This window comes from Homo sapiens, chromosome 4, assembly GCF_000001405.40.
Source record: "Homo sapiens chromosome 4, GRCh38.p14 Primary Assembly".
Classification (NCBI taxonomy): Eukaryota; Metazoa; Chordata; class Mammalia; order Primates; family Hominidae; genus Homo; species Homo sapiens.
Window position 1 is genome coordinate 183037626 of NC_000004.12, and position 12416 is coordinate 183050041.

The 12416-nt window shown below is 42.7% G+C and overlaps 1 pseudogene across 1 annotated transcript; it reads left to right on the forward strand.

Moving 5' to 3' along the window:
• The first annotated feature begins 39 nt into the window (after positions 1 to 39).
• On the forward strand, positions 40 to 2494 carry CIBAR1P2 (CIBAR1 pseudogene 2; annotated as a pseudogene). Its single transcript, NR_003612.2, has one exon. The product of NR_003612.2 is annotated as a CIBAR1 pseudogene 2 (transcript).
• The last annotated feature ends 9922 nt before the right edge of the window (positions 2495 to 12416 follow it).

Here is a 12416-nt window from a genome sequence, read left to right on the forward strand (position 1 = left end):
CTGACTTCACAAAGAGGTCATCAGTCATCACAGAACCACAGAATCATGATGTGAGGGCGGCTCGCACCCCAGCGCGCACCCAGGCACCTTAGAGTCCCCGGCTTTGGCTCCCCTGGGTCCCCTGGTTGTGCGCCAGGCAAGATGTTGAGATGCACACTGGAAAACCGGAACGCTCAAACCAAGCAACTGCAAGCAGCTGTCTCAAATATGGAGAAGCATTTGGGAGAACTGTGCCAAGTCTTTGCTGCCTATGTGCGGAAAACTGCCAGACTGCGAGACAAAGTGGACCGAGGATGAATGAAATCAACTCATATGCCGCTACAGAGGCCCCACATCTAAGGCTGGGCCTGATGAACTTTGCTGATGAGTTTGCCAAACTTCAGGATTATTGACAAGCAGAGGTTGAAAGACTTGAAGCCAAAGTAGTTGAACCCTGGAAAGCTTATGTAACCATTGTAAAAATGAAACGGGATGACCCCAAAGCAACATTCACAGCAAGGAATCGAGAAGCTAAGCAATTAACTCAGGTAGAAGGAACAGGTCAGCGAAACCCACCTCATCTGATCGACATGTTATTGTATCCTTTGAATTTCGACCTTTAAAAAAAACGTTTTTTAGGCCAGGCATGGTGGCTCACGCCTGTAATCCCAGCACTTTGGGAGGCTGAGGCGGGCAGATCACGAGGTCAGAAGTTCGAGACCAGTCTGGCCAACATAGTGAAATCCCATCTCTACTAAAAATACAAAAAAAAAAAAAAAAAAAAATTAGCCAGGCGTGGTGGTGGGCGCCTGTAATCCCAGCTAATCAGGAGGCTGAGGCAGGAGAATGGTGTGAATCCAGTGGTGGAGGTTGCAGTGAGCCAAGATCACGCCATTACACTCCAGCCTGGCTGACAGTGCAAGACTCTGTCTCAAAAAAAAAAAAATGTTTTTTTAAGGTTGTTACTGCCCAGCTCAGCCAGAAACCACATGAGGAGTGGCTCTTTGAGAGCCTGAGGGGCTCATTCCTGAAGGGAGTCCCTGGAGCAGGGGTTTGGGGCTGCGCCAATTGCTTGGTCCTTCTTCCTTTGGACCAAAGGCAGACACAGAATTACAAAGAGCTGCAATGGATGCAACCCGAACAAGTCATCATCTGGAGGAAACTATTGACAACTTTGAAAGGCAGAAAATAAAGGCTATAAAGACTATATTTTCCAAATTTATCACAATCAAAATGTTATTTCACAGCAAAGCTTTAGAGGTCTACACAGCTGCCTACCAGAATATACAAAAGATTGATAAGCATGAAGATTTAGATTTACATGTTTTCCTAAATTCCCTGTATGCACCAGATTATTCATCTCGTTTAGATATGGTAAGAGCAAATTCAAAGTCACCTCACCAGAGATCATGTCAGCTAAGTGTGTATCTGGAACAGGACAGGTATCCACTACCAACTAAGAAAGGATCAGCAAGCAGATGATAATGAGGATGAAGAGTCAGATGTTACAGAAGAAGACAATTTTCTCAAGTAAACTACACATTTCCATTTTCATCATAAATGACATGAAATCCACAATGACTAAATTGTAGAACTTTATACTCACTTTGATATGGTAAGCCTCAAAATGAAATTCAACTAGAAATGGAAAAATAATTAAAGGAAACTTACGCTGACCAAAAATGAAGGCTTTAAAAAATATTACACACCAGTCATTTCAACATCCAAAAAAAAAAAAATGACTTGAGCGTAGCAATTTGTTCTCTACTACAGGTGAGGGAAAGAAACCCTTGACCCTGAAAAGAAGTGTTTTGCTTAATATATTATCAGAACTGGGAAGAGGGTTGTCTCTTTTCTCCTCCTCCTCTTCGTTTTTAAATTAACACCCCTTGTTTCCAAAAATCTATTCTATTAGCTTCAAATTGCCTTTTTGTTTCATTCTACTTTTCATTTAGATTGCCTTCTTTTGTTCTCATTTCTTTCTCTATTTCTTGTAAATTTTCATCTCTTCTTTGCTATTGTCCGTTTCTTTGAACCCTTCATATATTTATTGTCTAACCATGTAAAATGTGGTATGAACAATAGTCATCTTATTCCCTTTCACTTAATTTTTTGGTATCATTTATTTTCTGTCCTTTCATCAGTGTCTCATTTTATGAATTTTCTACATTATCACTTCCTCCATTATTTCAATTATTTTTTCATTTAACATCCAGGTGATCCAAAAACAAACAAACAAACAAAAAAACAAGTTCAGAGAATTATATTACAAACACCTGTGGGCCCACTATTCGGCTTTATCTGAAATTTTGCCAAATTTGTTTCAGGTTTTTGTTTTCTTGGGAAATAAAAAATAGGTTAAGAAAGTCCTCTTCTACTCCTGTTTTGGTAAAAACAAAATGTTATCATGAAGTGATGTTGAATTTTATCAAGAGCTATTTCTGTATTTCCCATGATGCTCCCATTTTTTCTCAATTTGTTGGTATGACAAAATAAACAAAATTTTCTGATTTTATTTTATTTTATTTTTTTTATTGATCATTCTTGGGTGTTTCTCGCAGAGGGGGATTTGGCAGGGTCATACGACAATAGTGGAGGGAAGGTCAGCAGGTAAACAAGTGAACAAAGGTCTCTGGTTTTCCTAGGCAGAGGACCCTGCGGCCTTCCGCAGTGTTTGTGTCCCTGGGTACTTGAGATTAGGGAGTGGTGATGACTCTTAACGAGCATGCTGCCTTCAAGCATCTGTTTAACAAAGCACATCTTGCACCGCCCTTAATCCATTTAACCCTGAGTGGACACAGCACATGTTTCAGAGAGCACAGGGTTGGAGGTAAGGTCACAGATCAACAGGATCCCAAGGCAGAAGAATTTTTCTTAGTACAGAACAAACTGAAAAGTCTCCCATGTCTACCTCTTTCTACACAGACACGGCAACCATCCGATTTCTCAATCTTTTCCCCACCTTTCCCCCCTTTCTATTCCACAAAACCGCCATTGTCATCATGGCCCGTTCTCAATGAGCTGTTGGGTACACCTCCCAGACGGGGTGGTGGCCAGGCAGAGGGGCTCCTCACTTCCCAGTAGGGGCGGCCGGGCAGAGGCGCCCCTCACCTCCAGAATGGGGTGGCTGGCCGGGCGGGGGGCTGACCCCCCCACCTCCCTCCCGGACGGGGCGGCTGCCGGGCGGAGACGCTCCTCACTTCCCAGACGGGGTGGCTGCCGGGCGGAGGGGCTCCTCACTTCTCAGACGGGGCAGCTGCCGGGCGGAGGGGCTCCTCACTTCTCAGACGGGGCGGTTGCCAGGCAGAGGGTCTCCTCACTTCTCAGACGGGGCGGCCGGGCAGAGACGCTCCTCACCTCCCAGACGGGGTCGCGGCCGGGCAGAGGCGCTCCTCATATCCCAGACGGGGTGGCGGGGCAGAGGCGCTCCCCACATCTCAGACGATGGGCGGCCAGGCAGAGACGCTCCTCACTTCCTAGATGGGATGGCGGCTGGGAAGAGGCGCTCCTCACTTCCTAGATGGGATGGCGGCCGAGCAGAGACGCTCCTCACTTTCCAGACTGGGCAGCCAGGCAGAGGGGCTCCTCACATCCCAGACGATGGGGGGCCAGGCAGAGACGCTCCTCACTTCCCAGAGGGGGTGGCAGCCAGGCAGAGGCTGCAATCTCGGCACTTTGGGAGGCCAAGGCAGGCGGCTGGGAGGTGGAGGTTGTAGCGAGCCGAGATCACGCCACTGCACTCCAGCCTGGGCACCATTGAGCACTGAGTGAACAAGACTCCGTCTGCAATCCCGGCACCTCGGGAGGCCGAGGCTGGCGGATCACTCGCGGTTAGGAGCTGGAGACCAGCCTGGCCAACACAGCAAAACCCCGTCTCCACCAAAAAAATACGAAAACCAGTCAGGTGTGGTGGCGCGCGCCTGCAATCGCAGGCACTCGGCAGGCTGAGGCAGGAGAATCAGGCAGGGAGGTTGCAGTGAGCCGAGATGGCAGCAGTACAGTCCAGCTTCGGCTGGGCATCAGAGGGAGACCGTGGAAAGAGAGGGAGAGGGAGACCGTAGAAAGAAAGGGAGAGGGAGACCGTAGAAAGAGAGGGAGAGGGAGAGGGAGACCGTGGGGAGAGGGAGAGGGCAAAATTTTCTGATTTTAAACTATCTTTGCACTCTGAGATAAATCCAACTTGTTCATGATATATTCTTATTTATATATTGCTAGAACTATGTTGGCCAAAATTTATTTAGGATTTTGTAACTATATCCACAAATGAAATTGGCTTATAATTTATTTTTGTATTGTTCTGTTCAAAATTATATGTGTTCATAAGATAAGTTGGGAAACATTCCTCTTTTTCTGTTTAAAAAGTTATTAGATTATTCAGAAAACCATTTGTTATACATGTAACATTTCTTTGTAAGATTGCGTTTTTGATGGTTTGATTTTTAACTGCTGATAAAATCATGGAAGCATGATTATTGATGTATGCAAGTTTTCTGTTCAAGTCTCTTTTGATATGTTACATTTATTTTAGGAAAATGTCCATTTTATCTTTTTTTTTCAATTGTCATTAAGTTGTGAACAGCATTCTCGTAGGGTTTTCAAAACCTCTATTCCCTCTTTGCAATGACTCATTTTAGTCCTAGTGTATTTGTGTGTGTGCTTTATCTCATTTTTTCTACTCAATCTTGCTTGCAAGTCATTCCATTTTATTTGTTTTTACAGTCAATCAGCTTTAGGCTTTACAATCTTCTCTATCATTTCATCAACTTATGCTTTCTATTAATTCCTTGTATCTACTATTTTGGGGTTTACTCTGTTGAGTGTTTATGTCATTACTTTTCAGTCGTTTCTTTTTTACTAAGATACAAGCATCTGAGATTATACACCTCCCACTTACTACACTTTTTGAAAAATTTCAACTTTTATTTTAGATACAAGGGGTACATGGCAGGTTTGTTACGTGGGTAGATTGCATGATGCTGAGGTTTGGGGTGTGGATCCCATCACCACCCAGGTAGTGGCATAGTATCCAATAGAGAGTTTTTCAGTCCACTTCCCCTACTTCCCTCCCCGCTCTAGTAGTCCACAGTGTCTGTTGTTCCCACGTTTATGTCCATGTGTGCTCAAAGTTTAGCTCCTACTTACAAATGAGAGCATGAGGTATTTTGTTTTCTGTTCCTGCGTTAATTCGCTTAGGATTATGGCCTCCAGCTATATCCATGTTGCTGCAAAGTATGTGGTTTTGTTCTTTTTTATGGCTATGTACTTACTACACTTTCGATGTGTTCTGCATATTATACTTCTCATGATCATTCAGTTACTTATTTTTTTTTTTTGAGACAGAGTCTCGCTCTGTCACCCAGGCTGGAGTGCAGTGGCACAATCTTGGCTCACTGCAACTTTCGCCTCCCAAGTTCAAGCGATTCTCCTGCCTCAGCCTCCTGAGTAGCTGGGATGACAGGTGCACGCCACCACGCCCGGCTGATTTTTGTATTTTTAGTAGAGATGGGGTTTCACCATGTTGGTCAGGCTGATCTCAAACTCCTGACCTCATGATCCTCCCGCCTCAGCCTCCCAAAGTGCTGGGATTACAGGCATGAGCCACACCCCTGGCCTCAGTTACATATTATTTTCTAAGTGAAGAAGCAGTTTGGGATTGTGTTAAAAAGGATGTGTTCTGCCTCTGGGCAGAATCACACTGTTCCTCAGTTTCATTATCTGTAAAGTGGAAATAATGACAGTTCTTACTTGGGGTCCTATCAGGATTAAATGAGCTAAACATGTAAAATGCATGGAAGAATGTCTGGCACATCATAAAAGCTCAACTACTGTTGGTAATTATCATTGTTATAATTTTTTGATTTTTAAGTTTTTAGAAGGTTTTTTAATCTCTAGAAATATATCCTTTGTTGCCTATTTTTTTATTAATTTTGAATTATTGTACTGAGGTAAGAGAATGCAGTCAATATGATAAAAAATGTTTTGCTCTCTACTGAAATTCCAGTATCATTTTTCACAGAAATAGGAAAAAAATCCTAAAATTCACATGGAACCACAAAAAAAACCCCAAATAGCCAAAGCAATTCTGAAAAAAAAAAGTTGGAAACATGAAACTTCCTGATTTAAATTTATATTACAAAGTTATAGTAACCAACACAGTCTGATACTGGCATAAAAACAGACACATAGACCAGTGGAATCAAATACAGAGTCCCAAAATAAATCCAAACACAGATAATCAACGAACTTTTTTTTTTTTTTTGAGACAGAGTCTCGCTCTGTCGCCCAGGCTGGAGTGCATTGGCATGATCTCAGCTAACTGCAACCTCCGCCTCCTGGTGCAAGTGATTCTCATGCTTCAGCCTCCCGAGTAGCTGGGATTACAGGTGCCCACCACCACATCCGGCTAATTTTTGTATTTTTAGTAGGGATGAGATTTTACCATGTTGGCCAAGCTGATCTCAAACTCCTGACCTCAGGTGATCTGCCCACCTCAGCCTCCCAAAGTGTGGGATTACGGGTGTGAGCCACTGCACCCAGCTGGTCAACTAATTTCTGACAAGGGAATCAAAAAAATACAATGGGCAAAGGATCATCTCTTCAGTAAATGGTGCTGGGAAAACTGGATTTCCACATGCAAAAGAATAAAATTAGATCCCTATCTTACACATGCATAGAAGTCAACTCAAAATGAATGAAAGACTTAAAATATAAGACCTGAAACTGTAAAACTACTAGAAAATAACATAAGGGAAAGGCTTCATGACATTGGTCTGGGCAAGGATTTCTTTGGATAGGACCCCAAATGTTCAGGCAACAAAAGCAAAGACAGACAAGATTGCATCAAACTAAAAAGCTTCTGCACAAGAAAACAACTAGCAAAGTGATGAGACAACCCACAGAGTGGGAAAAAATATTTGCAAATTATATATGTAATGAAGGTTAGTATCCAAAATATATAAGGAATTCAAACTACTCAATGGCATGAAAACAAATAACCCAATTACAAAATGGACAAAGAACCTGAACAGACACTTCTCAAAAGAAGACATAAAAGTGGTCATCAGGTTCATGAAAAAAAAAATGCTCAACATTACTAATCATCAGGGAAATGCAAATTAAAACTGCAATGAGATACCACTCCCACCTGTTAGAATGGCTCTTATCAAAAAGAAGAAAGGTAAGTATTGGTGAGGATGTAGAGAAAAGGGAACCTTTGTAACGCATTGTTGGTGGGAATAAAAATTAGTACTGTCATTATGGAAAATGGTATGGAGATTCCTCAAAAATCTGAACATAGAACTGAGAGGTGACAGCGTGCCGGCAGCCCTTGCTCACTCTCGGCGCCTCCTGCGCCTCGGGGCCCACTCTGGCCGTGCTTGAGGAGCCCTTCACCCCTCCACTGCACTATGGGAGCCCCTCTCTGGGCTGGCTGAGGTCGCAGCCGACTCCCTCTGCTTGCAGGGAGGTGTATGGGGAGACGCCCAGGCGGGAACTGGGGCTGCGCCCGTGCTTGCGGACCAGTGCGAGTTCAGGGTGGGTGTGGGCTCTGCAGGCCCCGCACTCAGAGTGGCCGGCCGGCACCGCCGGCACCAGGCAGTGAGGAGCTTAGCACCCAGGCCAGCAGCTGCAGAGGGTGCGCTGGGTCCCCCAGCAGTGCCGGCCCTGCGCTCGAATTCTTGCTGGGCCTCAGCTGCCTCCCTGCAGGGCAGGGCTCCAGACCTGCAGCCTGCCACGTGCCAGACTCCCCCACGCTGTGGGCTCCTGCTCAGCGGAGCCTCCCCAACAAGCGCTGCCCCCTGCTCCACGGTACCCGGTCCCATCGACCACCCAAGGGCTGAGGAGTGCAGGCACACGGCACGGGACTGGCGGGCAGCTCCACCTGCAGCCCCAGTGCAGGATCCACTAGGTGAAGCCAGCTGGGCTCCTGAGTCTAGTGGGGACTTGGAGAACCTTTATGTCTAGCTAAGGGATTGTAGATACACCAATCAGCACTCTGTGTCTAGCTCAAGGTTTGTAAATACACCAATCAGCACCCTGTGTCTAGCTCAAGGTTTGTAAATACACCAATCAGCACTGTGTCTAGCTCAAGGTTTGTAAATGCACCAATCAGCACTCTGTGTCTAGCTCAAGGTTTGTGAATGCACCAATCAGCACTCTGTATCTGGCTAATCTGTGGGGACTTGGAGAACCTTTATGTCTAGCTAAGGGATTGTAAATACACCAATCAGCACCCTGTGTCTAGCTCAAGGTTTGTAAATGCACCAATCAGCACTCTGTGTCTAGCTCAAGGTTTGTGAATGCACCAATCAGCACTCGGTATCTGGCTAATCTGTGGGGACTTGGAGAACCTTTATGTCTAGCTAAGGGATTGTAAATACACCAATCAGCACCCTGTGTCTAGCTCAAGGTTTGTAAATGCACCAATCAGTGCTCTGTGTCTAGCTAATCTAGTGTGGACTTGGAGAACTTGTGTGTCTAGCTCAGGGATGGTAAACACACCAATCAGCACCCTGTCAAAATGGACCAATCAGCTTTCTGTAAAACCAACCAATCAGCTCTCTGTAAAATGGACTAATCAGCAGGATGTGGGTGGGGCCAGATAAGGGAATAAAAGGAGGCTGCATGAGCCAGCAGTGGCAACCCACTCGCGTCCTCTTCCACGCTGTGGAAGCTTTGTTCTTTTGTTCTTTGCAATAAGTTTTGCTGCTGCTCAGTTTTTGGGTCCGCACTGACTTTATGAGGTGTAACACTCGCTGCGAAGGTCTGCAGCTTCACTCCTGAAGCCAGGAAGACCACGAACCCACCAGGAGGAATGAACAACTCTGGACGAGAGGAACGAACAATTCCAGATGCACTGTCTTAAGAGCTGTAACACTCACCATGAAGGTCTGCAGCTTCACTCCTGAAGCCAGCAAGACCATGAACCCACCAGAAGGAAGAAACTCCGAACATGTCCAAACATCAGAAGGAGCAAACTCTGGACACATCACTTTTAAGAACTGTAACACTCACTGTGAGGGTCCACGGCTTCATTCTTGAAGTCAGTGAGATCAAGAACCCACCAATTCCAGACACAGAACTACCGTGTCATCCAGCAATCTCATTTCTGGGTGCATATCCAAAAAAATTGAAATCAATATGTCAAAGTAATATCTATATTCATTGCAACATTAGTCCCAATAGCCAAGATAAGGAATCAACTAATGTCCATGAACAGATGAATGGATAAAGAAAATATAGCATATGTATACACAATGGAATACTAATCAACCTTTAAAAAATAATGAAATTCCTCCATCCTGGCTAACATGGTGAAACCCTATCTCTATTACAAATATAAAAAATTTAGCTGGGCGTGGTGGCAGGCACCTGTAGACCCAGCTGCTCGGGAGGCTGAGGCAGGAGAATGGTGTGAACCCGGGAGGCGGAGCTTGCAGTGAGCCAAGATCGCACCACTGCACTCCACCCTGGGTGACGGAGCGAGACTCCATCTCAAAACAAAAAAAAAAAAGAATGAAATTCTGTCATTTGGGACAACATGGATTAATTTAGAGGACAATATGCTAAGTGGCATAAGCCAGGCACAGAAAAACAAATATTGCATGTTCTTTCTTACATGTAGGATCTAAAAATAGTTGAACTCGTAGAAGCAGAGAGTAGAATGGTGGTTACCAGAGGCTGAATGGTTTACTAGAGGCTGAGTGGGAGAGAGAATGGGGTGTTGCTGGTCAAAGGGTACGAAGTTTTAGCTAGACAGGAGGAATAAGTTTTCAGATCTACTGTACAGCAGAGTGACTATAGTCAATAATAATGTATATTTCAAAATATCTAAGAGAGGAAAGTTCAATTGTATTAACACAAAAAATGTTGAGTGAGATGATGTATTTGTTAACTAGCTTGATTCAATCATTCTACATTGTATGCATATACCAAAGTATCATTGTATTCTATAAATATAATACAATTATGATTTATCAAATAAAGTAATATTAATTTTAAAAAGTTTTTGTATTGGTATTTCCTTTGTGACCCTAACATGTTACATGTATGCCTAAACATTATGTGTGTTCTCTGCTTGTGAGCCATAGAAGTTTTCTGTTTGTTTAGTTTTTGGGTTTTTTTTTGGTTTTTTTTGAGATGAAGTTTCGCTTTTGTTGCCCAGGCTGGAGTGCAATGGCACTATCTTCTCTCAGCACAACCTCTGCCTCCCTGGTTCAAAGGATTCTCCTTGCAGCCTCCTAAGTAGCTGGGATTACAGGCCCATGCCACCAAGCCTGGCTAATTTTTTTTTAAATTTTTTTTTTATTTTTAGTAGAGACAGGGTTTCGCCATGTTGCCCAGGCTGGTCTCCAACTCCTGACCTCAAGTGATCGGCCCGCCTCAGCTTTCCAAAGTACTAGGATTACAGGCGTAAGCCACCACACCAGGCCTCCATTTAACTATTTTTTAAATCCCCAATAATACTTTTTGCCTTCAACACCAAGATGCCCAATATTGTTATAGCCCACAAGTTTTGTTCCATTTTTTGTTTTGTTTTGTTTTGTTTTGTTTTGTTTTCGGATAGTAGATGTTTGGTTGCCCTTTTTTGATTGTTTACTTTTGACTTTTCCATATCAGTAGGTATATCTCTTATAACAGAATACAGCAAGAATCTTTAAAACACAAGTTTTAACTGATACTTTATCTATTTATATTTGTTAGAATTACTGATATATTGGATTTATTTCTGCAATCTTGTTTTTGTGCTTCTTTCCATACTTTGCTTCTTATTTTTCCTTTCTCATCCCCTAGTAAATTAACCATTTTCATCATCCCTCCCTTTTATTTTCAACTCATTTTAAAGTTCTATGTTCTCTTTATTCTTTTAGGAATTACCCTTACATTTTCTTGATGTATTTTGACTTAAAACCAAAGTTAATCAATATGCTTACTCATTTCCCAAACATCATTAGGATTTAAAAACACATTTTAAAACTCCCAAAACCTTATGTGTCATTTTTCCAGTAGTTTAGTTACAACATTGTTTTTACACCCTCAAATTAGCTATTATTGAGTTTGTTCTTTGACATAGTTAGTGCTTTTTAGACTTTGCCGAAAGTTTATAAATTTCCTTGCTTTCTATTTATTTTTGTAACTTGGTCTTTCCTTCTGAGCACAGTTATCTTATTCCTGAGGAGGAAAATCAAATGGTTCTGTCAGTGAGTCTGTGAAGGCAAATACATGGTAGTGGTGTTCCCAAGCCAAGAAATGCACATAAACTGGTATCCTTGAGCTGGGACTGTGGATTTATGCTGATCTTTCTCTTCGAGGTTATTGCCTTTCACAGTTCTCAGATTTATGCAGGGATCTCAGTTCTTACCTTCCGTCAACAGTAGGCCTAAGGCCCCATTCCTTGCGCCTGCATGAAAGTTAAACCCAGGTCCCTGTTCTCCAGGGACGCTCGCCTACGGCTGCTTCAGACCATGTGCTAGCAGCTCTGGTTGTCATTTCTGGATATTTCTCTGGGCAATGCTTTCTTGAGCACTCAGGTTTACATTTTAGAAAATATTTGTTCTATTTTTACTAGCATTTGTAGTTCTTTAGGGGAGAATTTTCAAAACATTAGGTCCACAGTATTGACAAGCCAGAAGTCTTAGATCTACAGTTTATTTTACAAAAATTTCCTTTCTGGATTTGGATCATATTTTTCTGTGACACCGTCATGTATAACTTTTCTCTCTCCCAAAAGGCTTCAGTAAATTCTAAAATACATTGTATAAATGAAATTTTTCAAAATAACTTTAATAACCACTTTTACACTGAGCAGAATATGTCTCTCATTCTCTCAAAAATGGTCAGGAGATAATTTTTTCATTTATGAGTTTCTATTGCAGCTTTCATTTTCTTAGGTAGACACAGTTTCAGAGACAATTCAATTTCAAGTTTGTTGCTGCTATTATAAAATATGGACTCAGTATAGACATTTAGAATACTAAATGGTTCATAGAAATAAAATGTTTCTGCACTAGACAGGCAGGCTGCCAATAGTTTCCTAGTATAAGTTCTGGCAAATCCCTTTCCCAAGAACCTTATGAACCAGGTAACCCTGTGAGGAATGCACATTACAAACTCCTGAACACACTAAATATATAAATTGCTTTTCAGAATATCTTTAGCAATAAGTTCTTTGGTGATATGTTAGTGGCAGCCTCAAAAGGTCCTAATTTTATGTGTCAGACACACACACACACACACACACACACACACATATTTGTTTGTTTTCTAAATCGACATATCTGGAAAAGGATAATATTGGGTTCATGTCTCCCCTTATGGCCAAAGAAAAACAGTAATGGAGAAAGAAAGAAAAAAAAAAAGCTCCCCTGTTGATGTGCCCTGTACTGTGATTAAGATAAAGAAAAGATTTTTCTAGATCATAAAAGTCAGCATCTTATTAG